A 20,834-nucleotide genomic window follows, 5' to 3' on the forward strand; every position below is an offset into this window, starting at 1 on the left:
TTATGGCTGAGTAGTATTCCATCATATATCTATATATAAGGTATATCTATATATCTATATACCCTATATATCTTTATCCACTTGTTGTTTGATGGGCATTTGGGCTGATTCCATATTTTTGCAATTGTGAATTGCACTGCTATAAATGTGCATGTGCTAGTGTCTTTTTCATATAATGACTTCTTTTCCTCTGGGTAGATATCCAGTAGTGGGATTGCTGGATCAAATGGTAGATCTACTTCTAGTTATTTAAGGAATCTCCACAGTGTTTTCCATAGTGCTTGTACTAGTTTACATTACTACCAGCAGTGTGAAAGTATTCCCTTTTCACCACATCCATGCCAACATCTATTATTATTTTATTTTAAATTATGGCCATTCTTGCAGGAGTAAGGTGGTATCGCATTGTGATTTTGATTTGCATTTCCCTGATAATTAGTGATGTTAAGCATTTTTTCATACGTCCGTTGGCCATTTGTATATCTTATTTTGAGAGTTGTTTATTCATGTCCTTAGCCCACTTTTTGATGGGATTGTTTGTTTCTGCTTGCTGATTTGTTTGAGTTCCTCGTAGATTCTGGCTACTAGTCCTTTGTCAGATGCATGGCTTGCAAATATTTTTTCCCACTCTGTGGGTTGTCTGTTTACTCTGCTGATTATTTATTTTGTTGTACAGAAGTTTTTTAGTTAAATTAAGTCCCATCTATTCATTTTTGTTTTTGTTGCATTTGCTTTTGGGTTCTTAGTCATGAACTCTTTGCCTAAGCCAATATGTAGAAGAGTTTTTCTGATGTTTCTTCTATAATTTTTATGACTTCAGGTCTTAGATTAAAGTCTTTGATTCATCTTTGGTTGATTTTTGTGTAAGGTGAGAGATGAGAATCAAGTTTCAGTCTCCTACATGTGGCTTGCCAATTATCCCAGCACTATTTGTTGAATAGCGTGTCCTTTCCCCACTTTGTGTTTTTGTTTGCTTTGTCGAAGATCAGTTGGCTGTAAACATTTGGCTTTATTTCTGGTTCTCTATCCTGTTCCATTCATCTACATGACTGTTTTTATGCCAGTATCACGCTCTTTTGGTAACTACCACCTTGTAGGAATCTATAGGTCTGTGTTCCTGAATTTTTGTTATTGTTCTTCTTTTCAAATGTATTCCTTTTGCTTCAGCTCAATTGAACATATACTTGCAACACTACTATATGACAGGCTTAGTGACTGGATTCTGGGAGGAATGAAGAGATGAAAAAACAATGCCTGTCCACAAAGACTGTATAACATAAAAAGAAGAAGAGAAATTAGGCAAATAACTATCAGGCATGTTTGAATAATACTTCAGAAAGGAAGAGCTTATATCTGGAGATCTACAGAGGCTTTAGGAATGGCACAGGCATTTGCTATGGGCCTTGCCCAGTAGATAGGATTAGCGCAAAGATGTGGAAGGGTACGTTTTCTCAGAGACAGATCCCTGAGCAATGACACAGAGTCAGGAAAGTTTGAATCAGCTTGGAAAGTTAATGTAATTATTCTTTTTATTCATTGAATTTAATCACCAAAATTATTATACATCAAAATCCCAAAACAGCCATTGAAGAAGGTTTAATTTAGTCATTTTGAAATAAATTCTATCCTGAGCTCCAAATTGAGTATACTTCTCAACTCCATCCTGAAATGGAATCATGCAAATTCAGTCTGGGGTGTATTATAGGAACAAATGGGGAAATATTTACGTTAAAGTTACCAAATGCTGATCCTTAATCCTTCATTTAAATAACACCCACAATTTCAAACAATGGGTTCCCCAAATGCACTGGATCATGGTACCACAGATCTTGTTTAGAAAATGGAGTGTGAACAGCTCTCAGAATCTGAGAAATCCAAACAGCATCTCAGAGCTGGGGTCAGGGAGGATATTGGATGACAGGAGACATGCAGACTTGAGTAAAAAATCTGTTGTCACATTTTCCACAATTCAATTGCTAATAAAAACTTGGTAATGATGGCAGCAGTCTTTTCTGGAAACACTTACGATATTGATAATGACCCATACTGGGGAGATAAATCCAGTATGTAGCCATGCTTAAGTAAAAGAAATTCTTATTACCTCATTTGTCTACTAATAAGTGTGTCTTTGGAGGATTCTTTAAATATTATTGATATAGTGAGTGATAAAAGGTGACTGTTATTGCCTGAAAACACTGAATAATTTACCTTCATTAAAGCACATCCACCAGAGGCTTCTCAGGTTGCATGAAAGGTAGCACCAAGGTTCCAGAAAGTCTGCTTTTATTGTGAAGGAAAAAGAATCACATCCCCAACAATTTCCTTTAATTTGGAATTATTAAATGATTTTAACTCTCTTCTTTTGTGTAGCTGTAATATCAGCTTCAAAAGCTAATTTAATATAATCCATACCTTGACTTAGAATTGATTCATTATTTATCACATATTTACTAAATCCTAATATATGTGTGCAGTGTGTTGGGTATCAGGAATTCCACTGAGAACAATCCAAACAAGGCCCCTGCCCTCGTGTAGAATTTTTATTGCAGCACTAACAGTTTTCCTCCTTCTAAATCAAAAGCTCCTGCATCTCTTTTTCACCTTCTGCATACTGGTGCTGAGCCTAAGGCCTTGAATGTAAGTGCTTTTTAAGTATTTACCAAGTGGAAGTTTCCATTTTATTTTCCACCTTATATTATAGTTGATTGTGTCCTAGTATTCCTCCTAAATTAGTGGCTGAGGAGAGAGAGTGTAGCAGCGATCTACTCCTCTGCTGGGACACACAGCTAGACTACATTTCCCAGCCTCCCCTGCAGGTGTGACCACATGGCTAAGTTCTAACCAACAGCATGTGAGTGGAAGTGACTCCACTCAAAATGTGTTATTTCCAAGCCTACATATGAAATCTTCTCATAAGAGCTCCTCCCTGCTGTTAGATGTGGACATCCACATGGCCATCAGAAGCCAGCAGAGCCCCTGCTAGATAAAGTTATGGAAGTACTGTGTGGAACAAAGCCCCCTTTATCATCTGAAATAGTCTTGGATTGTTCATTATGAGGAATAAACTTCTACTGTGTGTATGTCATTAGTTACTTGTGGTCTATTTATTATAGCAACAAATTTATCCAAATTAATAAATGTCTTTGCACCTAATATATAGAAAATTTAAGGATGTTAATTGATAGAATTAAATGTTAGAAAAAGGAGATCTCTTCTCTTTTGTGTCATAAACCACCACTTTCTGCAGTTTACAGTTAACTGCTTTTATTAGAAAACACCAACAATCAAGAAATCACAGATTTCACTCTCAGATGTTTTATAGCCAAGTAAATGATAGCAAACATGAATGATTACTGATATGAAGTATTTTTCCTCTTCAATCAGGAGTTCAAAGTCAGAGGGAAAAAAATGGATATGTTTAACCTTCCCTAACCATTATAGACTCACTGTTGAGGCTGGAATTTGTCTATATCTAATTAGGATGTTAAAATTTGTCAACAAACCTATTTTACTTCCCCTTTTAACTTAGAGTTCATCTCTTCGTCTTCTACCAATTTACCTCAGAAGACTGGGACGATACATTTTAAACTCTTCTTCACTCCAAATCCAAAATAAAATTAAATACATTTTGATAGAAGTAAAAATTGACATTATTACACAAACACACAACACAGCCCTATATTAGCTCACCAATAAATTACCCAAGTTGCTTTCTCAATAAAGAAAAACACATTCATTTCAGAGAAGCCTACATATTTTTTTCTATCATTTTGTGATTTCATAGTAAGTGGATATGGTTTAGCTAGAGTACTTGGACCAGAAAATAAATGACTCCTGCTCATCCTGTAGGTGCCAACTACGTTCAAGCATGAGGGGTTGCTGGCCCGCAGTGCCAACATACAGCACCTTCGCAGGGAGGCCAAGGCCCTCATGCTCCAGCAATACCAGACGGCGCTCCGATGAGGCGGGCTGCTTCTGGCAGGTGGTAGCACAGGAGGTAGTAAGTGAAAGCAGCTCAGCATAAATAGTTACAGTGAAATACAAGAATAATATTCTGGCATCCCCGACTCATTTTCTCTCATTCATGACTCACAATAAATACATATTCTAATGGGCAAATGGCTAAACTACCCCAAAGAAATGAAGACTCATCTCCAACTTCTAATGGAAACTCTCACTGATCTGGAAACCTTTCCCCCTCAAGTTAAGCAAAGTTTGAACAGACATGATTTTCTCCTCATTGACCTTGGAAATCTGTCCCAGGCTGTTGGCCATTCTGGTCATCTTTTCTAGACCAGCTGCTGTCTTCATATCAAGGGGGATTTGGAGCATTCCATGGGTCAGAAGAACGTAATGTGTTCTGGGTCATTTCTAATCCATGGAAAGCCCAGGTGTATAAGATTGAACCAGCCAAAAAAGAGAGGAAGATACAGAGAAGCAGAGACAAAGACAGTATTTGACCAGGAAAAAAAAAAATGAACTAAGATCCTAACAAATCCCTAGACAACTAACAAATGAAAAGTGTAATATCACCAAGAACTAAGAAATTTATATTTAAGGATGAAAAATATGATTTCCAGGTTTTACTTTTGGGAGATGCAGATGAAAATATACAGAGGTTTTTTTGTCACATCTAAAATATATCTTGCTGAAACTTGGTGATGGGTAAAAGAGAATTCATTATATTATGCTCTCTAATTTTGTATAGACTTGAAAATTCCCACATGAAAATTACAAAAATAAAGAAAAGCATATCTAAATAAGTAGTCAAGGCTAAGATTAACAAGGATTTCTCATTCATTTACCATATTTATAACTCCATTTATATTGTTTCATACTTCAGAAGTGTCCCTATTTTTACAAATAGAAGTACTAATGGACTATACAGCTCAGTAACAATGAAATCCCTTTGGAAATGAGAATAAAACAGATAAAAAACTTAGAAGAAAGAAATGAAAAGTTTCCATGAGTGACTAGCCGTGGGCTATAGGAATTGCTGGGAGTCACTTCATGTAGAGCTCCAAGAACTTGTCAAGATTTCACTATTTACAGTTATATGACAGATTATGATACAGGAATATGCATTAACACTGAAACCAATTGTGTGGAATGGAAAAACCACGCTTTTTAAAGCCTGCTCGCTGTAAAATTTACCAGTTTTGCTTAGGTAAATAGGTTCCAAAGTACAAACATGAGAGGTTTTAAACCTGTTCTAGTTTAATAGGTCAGAATTTCAAGTCTGATTAAATTTTGCACTCCCCTGTTGCCTGATTTCTGTTCAGCTTTTGCTAATTACTTTCAGGGACTTGCTAATTGGGATGACTAGTAAAGACAATTTGTCATGTGGATCATTTTTTCTTAACATTTTCAATATTCAGTGTTTAATGTTTATAAAGTTATAGTCAGTCAGATTAATGTACATGATAATGTCAATATGAAGTTTCCACATTTTAGCATTTCAAGGTCATCATTGACCCTCCAATCTTCAAAAAGCCATTTGAGAATATGTTACTAAATTCTGTATGTAATTATGACTTGGCCATGGAAAAGTTTTTCTCCATAGAGATTCCTGGTAAATTGCTCTTTTTTGGCATTCTTTTTGGCCATGAAATGAGGAAAGCTGGAGTAATTCTTCTTTTAAATTGGGATGCCACTTGAGGTGGCAAAATTGTAATAATGTGGGCATAGAGATCAGTGGCAAAAAGAAGATCAATAAGGGACTTTAGCCTGAGAAGTTTGGAAAACCTATTTCTATATAAGCCTACAGCAACATCCTGATATCAGATCCCAAACTTTTGAGATGACACTGCCACCTGCCCCACAGGTACAGGAAGCTGCTGCCACCATCAGTCACTCTTAACTGAACATCCCAGAGCTCTAGGATCTGAGACCCAAACCCTGAAACTGCAGGATATTTATGCTACCCACTCTTTGCTAGTCCTCCTGGAAAAGCAGGTAATTGATAAGTGAATTAACTACTCAGGCAATTAATGAAATACACACATTCAACTCTGATGTAGTAGGATCATAGGACTTCTGAGACCTTACTACATTCCTGGTAATTTGCACGCAGGATCTCAGGTAATCCTAACAGCATGTAAATCAGGCATTCTTTATCCCCATTTTGCAAATGGGGAACTGAGACACAGAGATATTCATTAACTTGTCCAAAGTCATAAGAAACAGAGCTAGGAATCCTGCTTAACATGCTGATATCCTTGCTGATATCCTCTTAACCTGATCATTGACTTCCAACTGCCAGCACCTACATTTCCTGGCCTGATGCTTTCTTTTACCTCCATTGCCTGCTTTGCTAGGTCTTAAGGCAGGCCCAAAATGCCGGGAATTAATCCTCCTCTGGAGCAGCTCTGGGCTGGTGGCTGGCAGGAACTGGTGTACAAATACCCCAGATACCCTAGTTCTCTCAATCCTTGTGGGCAATAACACCAGCTCCCAAGTTTACCTAAGGGATCAAGCTGTAGCTTTCCATAGTGATAACTTCCTTGATAACACACTCTCTTCATTGGCTACCTTTCCTACCCCTGACTCACACCCTCACTTCCCCACCAAAATTTCCTGAGATCAACTGGAAAACTACCTCCTTCTCTCAAGGTCTGCTTCAGAAGTAATTAACACACAATTGCTTGGGCAGTGGCTCATGCCTATAAGCCCAGCACTTTAGGAGGCCAAGGCAGGAAGATCCCTGGAGGCCAGGAGTTTGAGAACAACCTGGGCAACGTAGTGAGACCCCATCTCTACAAAAAAATTAAAAAATTAGCCAAGCATGATGGCATGCTCCTGTAGTCCCAGCTACTTGGGAGGCTGAAGTGGGAGGATAGCTTGAGCCTGGGAGGTTGAAGCTGCAGTGAGCCATGATGGTGCTACTGCACTCCAGCCTGGGCGACAGAGCAAGACCCTGTCAAAAAAAAAAAAAAAAAAAGTAACTCACACACAAGATCTGATTGTAAGTCCTTATGATATTCTCATTCTTCCACACTGGAAGTATGGTGATTCAGGGAAGAAAGAAATGCCCAAAATCTGACATTATGCTATTAATGAAGAAAATGGGTGTTTAATATACTCGTTAGTCTTTCCCTTTGGAGAATAGGCTGGAGAATAGTTAGGCATCCCCATTAGGATTTCTGGAATAGGAACTCAGCAAATATTTGTTAGGGTTGAATGTAAAGTAGAAGCTGAGATTTGTCAGAGAAAGCTGATTTGAGGGGAGGGTAAAGTTGCTGAAACTATAGTAGCCTCAGGGAGCAGACACTGCGAACCCTTTGTCCAGGCAAAGAAAAGTCTAGTGCAGGTTCAATCTCTAGGCAGCCACTCCATGAATTCAACTGTGCCCTGACTTTGCGCTCTGTATTGTGTTCAGTCTTGTAGACTCGGCAGTGGGCACCACACAGGCTTTGGTTCTTGCAGTCCATGTTTCAGCAACAGAGACAGATTAAAAACCAATCAATGATGCACCCTGAGATGTGAGGTGTTCAAAGTGCTGTGTGACTGGCAGAGAGTGGAATGCATTCTGTGTGGGGTTTTAGCAGGAGTGGAATGGTTTGGGAGGCTTCACAGAAGGTGACAGTTGAGCTGGATTTTGAAAGACTTGAAAAGGAACTTAGCAGTAAAAGATGAAATAGTGTTGTTAAGAAATACCATTTGACCCAGCAATCCCATTACTGGGTATATCCCCAAAGGTTTAAAAATCATTCTACTCTAAAGACACATGCACACATGCTTACTGCAGCACTATTTGCAATAGCAAAGACTTGGAACCAACCCAAATGCCCATCAATGATAGACTGGATAAAGAAAATGTGTCACATACACACCATGGAATACTATGCAGCCATTAAAAAGAATGAGTTCATGTCCTTTGCAGGGACATGGATGATGCTGGAAACCATCATTCACAGCAAACTAACGCAGGAACAGAAAACCAAACACCACATGTTCTCACTTATAAATGGGAGTTAAACTATGAGAACACATGGACACAGGGAGGGGAACATCACACACTGGGGACTATTGGGGGGTGAGGGGCAAGGAGAGGGAGAGCATTAGGACAAATACCTAATGCATGCAGGGTTTAAAACCTAGATGATGGGTTGATAGTTGCAGCAAACCACCATGGCACATATATACCTGTGTAACAAACCTGCACATTCTGCACACGTATCCCAGAACTTAAAGTAAAATTAAAAAAAGAAAAGAAAAAAAATAGTGTAGTTTTCAGCAAAGAGATTTTCATCCAGCATTTTGGTTCTAGACGGGAAAAATCAACCCCCTTAAAAGGCAGATGCTTACAGAAACAAAGTTATAAAATGTCAAAGTTATAACATTCTTACCTCAGAATGTTGAGGGGAAAGTAACAAGAGCTAACAATTTCGTAGTGTTTGTTCTTTGCTGGGCACTGTTCTATGTGTTTTACATGCAGGAACTCATTGAACTTTCTCACAAAGACCCAAAATAAATATTACTATTATGCCATTACAGATGGAGAAATTAAGGTATAGCGAGGTCAAGAAAATTGTTCAAAGTCACACAGCTGTTAATGAAAGCCAAATAATCTGGCATTCAAGTCTGCACTCTTAATTAGTAGAAGTAAAGTTAAAGTAGGACTAACGGAAATAACTATGGAAACTTGAAACAGGTAATAACCACACTGAGTAGCATTGTTATGTAAAACTTCTCACTCACCTATGCTTTATACCCTAATATGAGCTCACAGTGCAGTGAAAACAGTAAGCATAGTATATGATTAATAGTTAGAGTTCTGGCATCAGCCAAATGAGGACATGGGCCCCAGTAGCTCTGCCACAGACTGCCTCAGGGACCAAGGTCCCATTTCTTAGCTTCTGGGAACAACCACTTCTTTATCTTGCAAATAAGGGTAAGAGCAGTCCTCATTGCATAGGGATGTTTTGAGAATTAGATGTGATAATGTATGTGCTGAGCTTAACACCATTTCTTGCGCTTAGTAAGTGCTCAATAAATGTTAGCAATTTATATTAGTAGCAAAATTGAATGCTGTAACTATACTGTTTATTTTACAAAGCTAATTAAACAGGCTGTGCAAGAGTTAACCCAGAGTAGGAGAATGGCAGAGAAGTGAAAGAACACTGTGGTTGGAGATTTAAAACCACCCTCTTCCCCAGAGGAGCAGCAGCAGCACCAAGTCGTCCAAGTGGTACCATGGCAGTTTGTCCTTGGCAGTGGTGAGTCAGTAGGGCACATGCCTCAGTACTTATTAATAGTCAAGGGATCTGGTGTCTATAAATCTCAGTGATTTGGACCAGAGAGCAAAATCACTTTGGCAGGCAGCACAGAGAATGGGGAAATCTCTCTGGAAGAGCTGTCAGTTAGAATAATTATTTATACAGATTCATCTCTTTCTCTTTCTGAACAAAGTATATTATTTAATAAAATATTGATGGTTAGAGTAATACGATTATTGTAGAGTAAGTACTTTGTTCCTGGGAGGTTCCCTCTAAATCCTCAGAATTTCTCAAGTGATAGGAGTGTCTTTGTTATTCCTGGTGGGTCCTGATAGTTTATGTTAAAGTGACTCAGGATGGGGACTGGCCACATCAGAAAGTCCAATCATGTGATTCAAGGGTTGGGGCTTTCAGCCACATGACATCAGCCTAACCTCTAGGAAAAGGAGGAGAAATGGAAATTGAGCTCAGTCACATGACCATGATTCAATCAATCTGGCTTACATAATAAAAATCCAATAAAAACTCTAGACACTGAAGCACAGGTGAACTTCTTGGTGGAAATACACATTGGAATGTGTTATGGATGGAATGTTTGTAACCCTCCAAAACTCACACGTTGAAATCTAATTCCTAATGCCATAGTGTTTGGAAGTGGGCCTTTGGGAGAGTGAGCCATCATGAATGGGATTAGTGTCAGAGAGCTAGCTTGCTTGCTTTACACCATGTGAGGACATTGCTAGGAGACAGCTGCCTGTAAACCTACAGGAGGGCCCTCACCAAGAACCTGACCCTGCTGGCACCCTGATCTCAAACTTTCCACCTCTAGAACTGTGAGAAATAAATGTTAATTCACCCAGTTTATGAAATTTTGTTATAGCAGCCCAAGCTGGCTGAGACAAAAGGTGACACATGTCCTGAGGACACAGAAGCTTCTTGGGACACTCCCAGACTTTGCATTTGGGGCCTCTTTCAGCTTGTCCTGATATGTATCCTTTCTAATGAAACTGTAATTCCAAATTCTTGAGTTCTGTTCATTATATTGAATTATGAAAACTTACGGGGTAGGGGAAATACTCAAATTTGTAACCAGCTAGTCTAAGGTGTGAGTGGACTGGGTGATATTGTGAAATATATATTTGGCCTCTGCCTGAAGGTCAGGAGATAGGGTTCCTAAGCCCCTTGGAGACAGAAGTGCTAGGAGAATCTTTTGTTCTAATATATGGTCTTTGACCCTGGTTCATGACATAGAATTCCTAACATCTTTGCAATTTCTGAGTGGTAGTAACATCTAACACAGAGCTCCTAAATCCCTTGGAATTGGTAACAGAAGCATCTTGTGTGCTAATAAGATGACTCTTGGCGGGTCCTGGATAGCCTTAGGATGTGAGCTGGTTGCCCAGGGAACCAACCATGTGATTAGAGCACTGAAACTTTCAGGACCACCCCCCACCCCCACTCCCGACGAACTGATTTCTGAGGAGAGGAAAGGGGCTGATGGTTAAGTTGATCGCCAGTGGCCAATGATGGAATTAAGCATGGCTACATGATGAAGTCTCCATTAAAAAAAATAATAATAAAATAAAATAAGAAACAGGACAAGGTTCAAAGAGCTTCCAGATTGCTGAACACGTGGAGGTGGTGGGATGGTGGCATCCCCAGAGAGGGCATGGAGGGTCTGTGCTTCTTCCCATATTCATCAATCATCATTCAATTCGTCTATATCATTTGTCATATTTTTTTAAGAGACAGAACCTCACTCTGTCACGTAGGCTGGAATTCAGTTGCACAATCATAGCTCACTGCCGCCTTGAACTCCTGGACTCAAGTGATCTGCCTCAGCTCCCCGAAGCACTGGATGTTAGGCATAATCCACCACACCCATCCTATGGTATTCTTTATAATAAACCAGTAAATGTAAGTAAGCATTTCCCTGAGTTCTGTGAGTTGTCCTAGCAGATTAATCAAACGAAGAGGGAGCCATGGAGACACCCAATTTATAGTGGGTTGGTCAGAAGCACAGGTCACAACTGGGGACTTGTGACTGGCATCTGAAGTGGGAGGAAGTCTTATGGGACTGAGAGCTGAACCTGTGGGATCTGACACGATCTCTAGGTAGATAGTGTCAAATTGAGATAAATTGTAGGACATTCCATTGGTGTCCACTGGAGAATTAATTGTTGGTAGGGAGAAATCCATCCCCCTCAACATATACATTTTGTTGGCCCGAAGTGAAATGTTCTATACAATGTTGTATGGCTGTGTAAAAAAACAAAAACTGTTTTGCTAAAGACCTCAGAACGCTTGAACTTGCAGCTGGTATCTGAAGAGAGGAGAGTCTTGTGGGAGGTTGTGCTGTAACCTGCGAAGTTTGCAGTAACTCCAGGTAGTTAGCAGCAGAATTGGATTGCAAAACTCAAGGAAGAAATAGGTATAAAATGACTCCTAAGAGTAAGACATTATATGCCACCAAAAAAATTGCAGAAAATGGGGTACAATTTGTATGCTATCTGAAAGCAAAAGAACTGTGAAGTTTTGAAAAACCATCTTTCTTTATTAAAATATTTAACTTTAACCTGGGATTAGTTGCTCACCTTCATTCAGTCATTTTTGTGGCTCACAACAGTCAGTGCCCATTGAAGGCCTTGCAGGCACTTCAGGTTTTCTAAGAACTAAATCATCCAATAAATATGACTTCATCCAAAGAAAACTACCAATACAACAGGACTTACTTGTCCACCTTCTCTCTCCTTGATGCTTAACTTTTTAATGTTATTCAGGAAGATTTTAGATGCATATAACACATCCATTGGTTACCACAAATGCTTTTTTCCAATCATTCGTTCATTAGACATGTATATATTAGCAAACCACTATGTGTCCAGCTCTGGGCAACAGATAGCGAAAAGAATAGCAACCTTGGCCTCAGAACTTTTCTGAAGCTCTATTTGCTAGCTCTGTGACCTTCAGCAAATCATTTGCCCTTTCTGTAAGATAAGGAGATTGGACTAGATGACATTATTGGGGTATAAATGTCCTGTCCAACTCTAAATGCTATTGATTCTTTGTGTCAGCCTACATTTCCTGGGAGACTGAAGCATGACTTCTTCACCGCGTGTTTGCCAACTCTCTTGTGAGTCTTGCCTCAGCTCATTCTCAAACTCCCCCTCCTTGTTCCATAAATCTGCATACGAAAGGACCAGACAGCTGTAGCTCTCAACAGCTTTGGTTTTCATCAGTGCCTGTGTCATCCTGTGTGCTGAAGCTGCTTTTTAAAGGGGCCAAGCCTCCTTTAAACAATTCTAAATATTTTTGAAGATACAAACCAGAGCATAACAAGCTTACAAATAGATAAAGCAGTAGAGTTTTTCCACAGGTGGTTAAACTAACAAGAAGATATCTTTGTGGGAAATTTCCTATGATGTAGGTTGATTGTAGAGGGAACCAGAGCAACCTTGGAGAAGCTAGGATAATGTTAGACAGTGGGAAGAAATCAGGGAGAAAGGTAGCATCAGCAAAGGAGGCAGGACACAGGGAAGAAAAGCTGAGTTCAGAGAGGACATCCTGCATGCTACACACTCTGCCAGGTGTGCTATCCATATTCACCTAAATTTCCCCACAAAACCAAAAATGAGTCATAGTTGTAAGGAATGATACTGCAGCTGAAAAAAATACCACTGCTAGAACAACAAAGACTACTGATGAGTTTGTTAAATAAGTCAAAGATAGAGAAATAGACATTCCCACATTCATACCCTTTGCTATGGTTTGAATCCATGACTCAAAATTCTAGTGTTGAAAACATAGTCTCCAATACAGCAGTGCTGGGAAGTGGGGCCTAGTGGAAGGTGTTTAGGTCATAAGGGCTCTGGCCTTCTGAGTGGATTAATTCCATTATAAAAATGGCTTACAAAAGTGTCTTCTCTCTCTTCTGCAGAGCAGAAGACACAGCCTTCATCTCGTCTTCCCCTTCCACCTTCTGCCGTGTGAGGACACAGCAAGAAGGCCAATCCCAGATGCTGAAACCTTGATCTTGGACCTCCCAGTCTCCAGAGTGTGAGAAATAAATTTCTGTTTCTTATAAATTACTCAATCTCATGTATTCTGTTATAGCAGCACAAATGGACTAAGACACCCTGCTATGTCCTCCTATAACTCTTTTCCTACAAGCCTCACCTTCACATCTAATTTTAAGTCATGTCACTGATTTAAAGGGGGAGAATTGTACTGTGGAAGCTCAGGTATGCATAAAGCAACAGACTTTTTTTTTTTTAATACCAAGAGAACAGAAACAGTTAACAAAATACAGCAGAATGGTAACTTAATGTGAGATTTACATTTCAAAGTTTAAAACTCTAGATTCAAAAGCGAGCATGATTTTTGGCATGGCCTTTGGAAACCAGTGCCAACAACTCATACACACAACTTTTATTCCTCTGACCCCTGCAACTGCTTTGAAGAAATGGCATTTATCTTTTCAATGGTGAAATTAAAACATTTCCAAACATCAGCATTGTAAATTTCTGATCCCAATTTGTTGTGATGTCTAATCCCTTGTTGATTCCTGATTTTCACTTTTTAGTCTCCTGGATTTCATCTTGTTATTCTCATAGACTTATTTCCTGAGTAGATCAGGGACCTGGCTAAAGAAATGGTGTCCTTGATTAGGAAAAGGAAAAAATGTAGAACTTTAACAAAAGTTGGAACCTTTAGAGTGATCAAATTCAGACTTTGTTCACAGAAAAATAAAAAATATAGTCACTCACCTATATGCTTCACTGGTATGACAACAGACAACCGACTATTTAGATTCATGAAGGTTGCAGGCTGCATGTTTCCTGTCATCATTTCATTAATGGACGTGCTATGGAATAGGACTCAGGAGAAAGTAGAAAAAGTATAACCTTTGGAATGTGGAGGGCTAAACTTTAGTCCCAGCTTCTCCAGTTAAAAGCTGTGTAGCCTCAGGCAAATGAATTGACAGATAAGGGCTTCAGCTTTCCTTATCTTTTATCAAAAAGAGGAGAAGAGAAAGAAAAGGAGGAGAGAATGAGGCAAGGAAGGGAGGGAGGAAGGGAAAAAAGTAAGTAGGAAGTAATAATAATAACTACCTCATAGGGCTGAGTGAGAGTGAAATAATATGTATGAAGGCCTTATACACAATGTAATGTTGTAATAGAGAAATAGAGTATTATTTGTAGAAATGGTACTTTAAACACTAACTCCTTTACATATTGAAAAAAAAATCCTGGAAACAAGCTGTGCCTGCTACAATATTTAATAAAAGCATCACCTTGAAATAAGCTGCAGAATCTTCACCCCAGGACAACTGCAGTTTGCTCTTGTTGAGTGACAGTGTAGGTCTGGATTTCCTAGGCATTTAGTTCAGCAATCTCTCCTCCCCCAAGAATGTGTCTTTTTTCATTAGCACCTTCCACAGATTAGAGATTTCTATGTTTGACTTTCCACTGGTTGTGTTTGTCCCTGAAGCCTGGAGTCCTGCACAGGTTAGAATGCCAGCCATCAGACTGTAGGATAAGTACAGTCCTGTCGACGACAGCCTCTGAACTGAAATAGTACGTGGCGGGTGATTGCCTCTGTTCATCCGAGCTGTTAGTTCTGGTTTGGTGTTCAGTAAAGAGAATACGAATCAGGACATGGAGCCTTGCAATAAAGAGGAACTAATGGAGGTAATTAGGAGAGAACACCTGTCAGTGAGAAACTGCACCTCTCCATTGGCCATAGCCAGCCATTGCTCCCAATTGTTATTCACAACAATGGAGAGCCTCTGGACTGTGAATGAGAGCTATGATGGACGGCAATAAAATTCGCAAATGAGCTTTCACATTGTCTAATAAAATTCTATGACTTTGTCAATCTGTGTTGACACAGACCTACACAGGACTAGATGATAAAATGTTGTAATGGGAAGCTAATTGTTTCATTGGCTTTATACGTTTGTCTTTTATTTCTGTGGTTCCAGGTGCAGATTCTGACTATTTTTACAAGGGATCATGAGAACAGTAGTCAATTACCCTGAGTCAAACACCCCGAGTCAAATATCATAGCCCCACACAGCATTTCAAGTCAAACACGGCTACAAATGGGCATAAAAATAAAACCCCCAACACATGAATCTGAACCTGGGGGTATGTAGAATCAGGGCTGCCTAAAACATGGCTCAGAACTTTACATTTTAAGCAATTATAAACAAAAGGTGACTACAGTCATGTAAGTCATGTAGGTTCTAGATTAAAGATTTTTTTTTTTTCTTTGAGACAGAGTCTTTCTCTGTTGCCCAGGCTAGAGTGCAATGGCTCGATCTCGGCTCACTGCAACCTCTGCCTCCTGAGTTCAACCAATTCTCCTGCCTCAGCCTCCCAAGTAGCTGGGATTATAGGTACCTGCCACCACGTGCAGCTAAGTTTTTGTATTTTTAGTAGAGACAGGGTTTCACTATGTTGACCAGGCTGATCTCAAACTCCTGACCTCAGGTGATCCACCCGCCTCGGCCTCCCAAAGTGCTGGGATTACAGGTGTGAGCTACCGCACCCAGCCATTTTTTCTTTTTTTTTTTTTTAAGACAAAGTCTCTCTCCATCACACAGGCTGCAGTGCAGTGACGCAACCTCGGCTCACTGCTGCAACCTCTGCCTTCTGGGTTCAATGGATTCTCCTGCCTCAGCCTCCTGAGTAGCTGGGACCACAGGCGCCCACCACCACACCCGGCGGCTAATTTTTGTATTTTTAGTAAAGACGAGTTTTCGCTACGTTGGCCAGACTGGTCTCAAACTCCTGACCTTAAGTGATCTGCCCGCCTCGGCCTCCCAAAGTGCTGGGATTACAGGCCTGAGCCATCGCACTCGGCCTATATTCGTTCTAAAGATGTCATCTTGAAAGGGAATAAGAAAGCATGTTTATGGCCTTATATTAGCCTCAGAAGATATTATTTTAAAAGTGTACTTTAATTCACAAGTAATTCTGGAAGGTATAACCTATAAAAGCAAGGATTCGCAAAAAATACTGAGATTTGTTGTAGGTGTACCTCAAGTTTATTTTATTTTACGTGCCCAGCACAAAACACAGCTGAGCAAACAAATAATTGTGGAAGGAAGAAAGAGAAGGAGAAGAGACAGAAAGTAGGTTATATATACAGATAACCTCTAGTGGTCAAAAACTGTTTCTAGTTTACTACTTTACTCCCATTGGCTAGAACAAGATAAGCGTATAATAAATATTTAATAAATATTCTTGAGTAAAGAAATAAAAACAGCATATCAAATTTTGTCTCATTGATGGGACAAGCTGTTCATCTAAGTTGTTATTTTTAATGCGGACTCAAAAGGTAAAGAATCAACAACTCTCTTAAATGTTTGTCCATTGAAAATCCACAAGCATGGGCACATGAATAACCTACAGCCACCTAGTCTTTTTCTATATTATAGGAGACAGGGAACATTATCCATTGGAATAATCACCTAGTAATGTCAGTTTGATAGTATAATATATACATATATTATACTTTACTTGGAAAAAGTCTCCATTTCTCTAAGATACTAATTAAGGGTTAATTATGCTTGCTTCTTGCCTTTCTCATAAAGCATTATTGAATCAAAGCTGGTAGTGTATTTTGGATTGTTGGAAATACAGTAACAAAATAATTATTTTAGAAATAAAAATTGAAAAAAATGGAAGAAAAATCAAACTCTAGAACATAATGACATCTGAGAATCAGATTTCACAGGGACTTAAATCTCATTAGCATCAGTTTTCAAAGCATTTCAGCCAATGGAACCATAGTTCACAAATAAATATAAATCAAGTGTGGAAGCCAGAAGTACTTCCAATCTCATATTCTCCTTTTGTGCCAAAATATATTCAAAATCAAAGTATAAATTTATGGGATAGTGAAGTCTTTCTTGACTACACAGACCCCAAGTTCTCCAGTAAATTAAATATGTTGTAGGGCACAAAGATATTTTGTGTAGGATCTTCACAGAAGATTTTTAAAAACATTTGACAATTAAGATAACAAAAAACATATGATAAATTATCTTAAATAAAAATAAATATGATAATACTATACCAAGACAGGAATGCATATGATATAATAATTTGCATTGTGGTTGGAATTGACAAAAGTGAAAATCTGGGAAATTTACACACAGACTCTCATTAAGGGAGGTTAAGTGATGATAGGTTCTTGGAAAGAAAAAACTGGCGGAGGTTCCCTGCCTAGACCCCTTCCAGATTCTAAAACATGACTTGCCCTCTGCATCGGAAAGGAAAGGTAAATCTCTTGACTGCAGTCACAGCACTTAGACAAATCCCTCAACCCTCCTGAGGATCTCTCCTTGTGGGTTTCTCTTACATTTTTTCTGGGCAAGCAGATGAGCACTAAATAATAAGGAAAGGAAGAAATATACATTTGGTATGTTGGCCTAGAAGGCAGTTGCTACATGGTTGCTTACAGAAGGCAGATTAGGAATGTGCAAAGAGTGTTCAACCTGGGCTGGGAGATCCCACTACTGTCAACTTGCACTAACCCAGACCAAAACTGCCCAGGTAATAAATCCAGCAGGACTTGCCTCGTGTCTACTCTTTAGCAGCCCTTCCTTTGAAAGGCAGTACTCAGTTGAAGATGAGGTCCAGTTCGTCACTATCCAGAAAGATTCCAAAATCGGGGGGGATGTATATTCACACCAGCTGAAAGTACATCTCCCTGAGGAAGGCTGTATCTGTCCTCATACTATCCAGCTAACAAAGAAGCACAGAATGTGTCTCCTCCACACCCATAAGGTCACCAGTGCTTTCCGGAAAGGCTCTAAACTTCCCGTCATCATACATAGGAATAAATTTCATAGGACTTTGTCTTATTTGGCATCTTAAAAAGCTATTAGGCAGTAAAAGTATCTGTCTACAATATAGCTCTGATTATGTAACTCCCTTAGATTAATAACAGGAAGAGAATGCCTGGCATTTTTCTAGAATATGCCTTCATACACTCAAGCTTTTGCTCATGCTCTATCTTCTGCCTGGAACACCCTTCTCAAGCTTGTGACAGCTGAAATGACTTCTCTTCCTGAAGTGGTCACTGACATACACTTCCTACCTTGCCTAGGCTCAGCAGTGCCTCCTCATCCTCAGTTTCCACAAAACTTTGCACCTATTTCTATTCTATTAGAATTCAATAATTTACTTATGTGTTTACATAATAGCTCTGTTTACTAACTTGCTATAACCGTGGGCAAGTTATTTTACTCCCTTGGTCTCAGTGTTCTCATCTGTAACGTTGAAGATGAAATAATCACAGTTATATTAATACTTCAAATGCACTGTTCTCTCTCCTGTTTTTGATTTTGTGTTGAGAATATGGTGGGAAGCAAGAACAGGGTTTTGCCCTCCTTTTATATCTTAATAGAAGGGAGAGGAAGACAGGCAATAAGTGTATGAAAAAAAGTAATCTCGGATAATTCTGGGAAGCTCCATGACAAAAATAAAATCAGGTGATGCTGTAGACAGTGGTGGAGACACAGAGAGACTCTTTAGACAAGGTGGAAGACAAATTTCAGTTTAGAACAAAACCAGGAAAGAGAGGCAGCTTTTGTGTCCATATTCCAAGTAGAAGAAATGTCAAAGTTCTGAACTGGGAATGGTCTTGGTGTGTTCAAAAAGGATGAAGAAGACAGCAGTGACCTTGACAGACTGAACAGGCAGGTGGGGAAAGTTGAGATGGGGAATATGAGCGAATATCAGATCACGCAGGGCCTTGTAGGAGTTTGAGTTTTATTGTGCTGCAACAGAAAAACATCAGAGGATTTTAAGCAGTTGACATAATTTGCTTTGTACTTTGGAAAGATCATTCTAGTTGCTGCATGGAGGGAGGTTTTGTTGGAGGTGGGTAGGAGCAGAAAAGCCATTTAAGAAGGTGTTTTTACAGTACAGGCAATGTGGTGCAATGGTTTGGGAAGTGTTGTAGCTGTGAAAATTATGAAAGTCAAGATATATTTTGGAGTAGAGTGAAAATGAATCAATATATTAGACATAGAGAGCAAAGGGAAGTTAATCAAGATTGATTGCTCAGTGTTTGGCCTGAGCAACTGAGAACACTGAGGTAGTGAAGGCTTGGGTGAAGGGAGCACTTTTGACTGTGGAAGTCTCAACCTTGTTGAGATTGAGATATCACTGGGCATCCGGATGAAGATGCAAAGTGGTCAGTAAAATTTATCATCTAGCGCTCAGGAGGGAGGATAGTCTGGGAGTTTCACAAATTTGAGAACCATCAGAATGTCAGTAAGAAAAGCCATTGAATTAAATCAGTTTGTCTAGATAAAGAGGGAATGTAGAGAAAATAAAAGAGCAGAGGGTTCCATACTAGAGCATGCCAACAGGCAGATGCAAGAGAAAGGACCAGCAGAGAATGTAGAGAAAGTAGAGAGAGAGTTAGGTAGAAAAGAAGAGCAGACAGGTATGGTGTCCCAGCACCAGATGAGAACGGTTTCAAGAAGAGAGTGAACATCTGCTGCTGAGTGAGTAAGAGAGAATTGAACCACTGTCTTTGGCGTAAGGTAGGTCATTGTTTTGTTGTTGCTGATGGGAAGTGTCATGTCTGACAGTTCCGAGTGCCTCCTTGATATTACTACTCATAAAGTTGAGTCAATTTCAGCTATCCTGGTGGTGTAATTTCCTCCATCAACTTTCAGCTCCCCTAGTCCAGGTGAGGAGGGGTGAAAAATTGAGTTTAACCAGGATGTGGGTTTGGTTGGCAAAATGTCAAAATGGCTTATTCTAAATTTCTTCCAGTCTCTAAAAGTTCATCAAATAAAGCAAAATCTGTTTTCCTTGAATCTAAAATTTCAAACTAATTCTTTAACTTTTAAAATTCTTCAAATTAAGATTATTTATGGTTGCATGAAAAAACTTGACAATGAAGCAATGGGAGAGGGATCTTTAGCAATCTTGCATGTTATTTAAATCACAAATATTGGACTAGGAATATGTATTAATCCAGAACAAATGTCATGGTTTATTCTTCCAATATTTTTCACTTATACTTTGCTTCCCTTCTTTTTCCAGGTTTGATCCTTGGGAAGTATAAAAGAATAGATTATGAAAATCTTGATGCCCTGTTGGATGTGTCCAAGGGTTATTCAATGTCAAAGTAAGAAATGCCATCAAAATCTTTTAAAATAACACGAAAGCAAGAAATTTATATACTAATAGAAATTATTTATCTCAGTGAATAATTCAAAGATTATTCCCTTAAATTCTGACATCTTATAGAACACAGCATTTGTCTTTTTTTGTTTCATTTTAGGAAAATCTAAAATTAAAACCTACTTTACATTCTAAAAATAAGTGGTTTAACTCCTGAAAATTTATTCAATCACATTTTAAACTCCAACATACATATTTCTAGACTTGTAAACATATTTGCATTCTTTTAAATTTAAATAGAAATAGATTTGTTAAAATCCAGTTCTCTGAAATGCTCAGGAAAGTATCATCTGGCTTGATTTTTATAAATTATCTGTAATGTTTTTAATAAAATTACTTTGGGATATATGCTACTTCAGAAAAAGAATTAATGCTTTAACTCTACTTGTTATGAAGCATT

General features: G+C 38.9%; 1 long non-coding RNA gene across 1 annotated transcript; it reads left to right on the forward strand.

The window, feature by feature from the left end:
* Positions 1-8,804: 8,804 nt before the first annotated feature.
* On the forward strand, positions 8,805-13,234 carry LOC105375881 (uncharacterized). Its single transcript, XR_928996.1, has 3 exons — positions 8,805-8,893; positions 9,059-9,218; positions 13,156-13,234. It is a non-coding gene; the product is annotated as an uncharacterized LOC105375881 (long non-coding RNA).
* Positions 13,235-20,834: the final 7,600 nt, after the last annotated feature.

This window comes from Homo sapiens, chromosome 8 (assembly GCF_000001405.40).
Source record: "Homo sapiens chromosome 8, GRCh38.p14 Primary Assembly".
In the NCBI taxonomy this organism is placed as follows: Eukaryota; Metazoa; Chordata; class Mammalia; order Primates; family Hominidae; genus Homo; species Homo sapiens.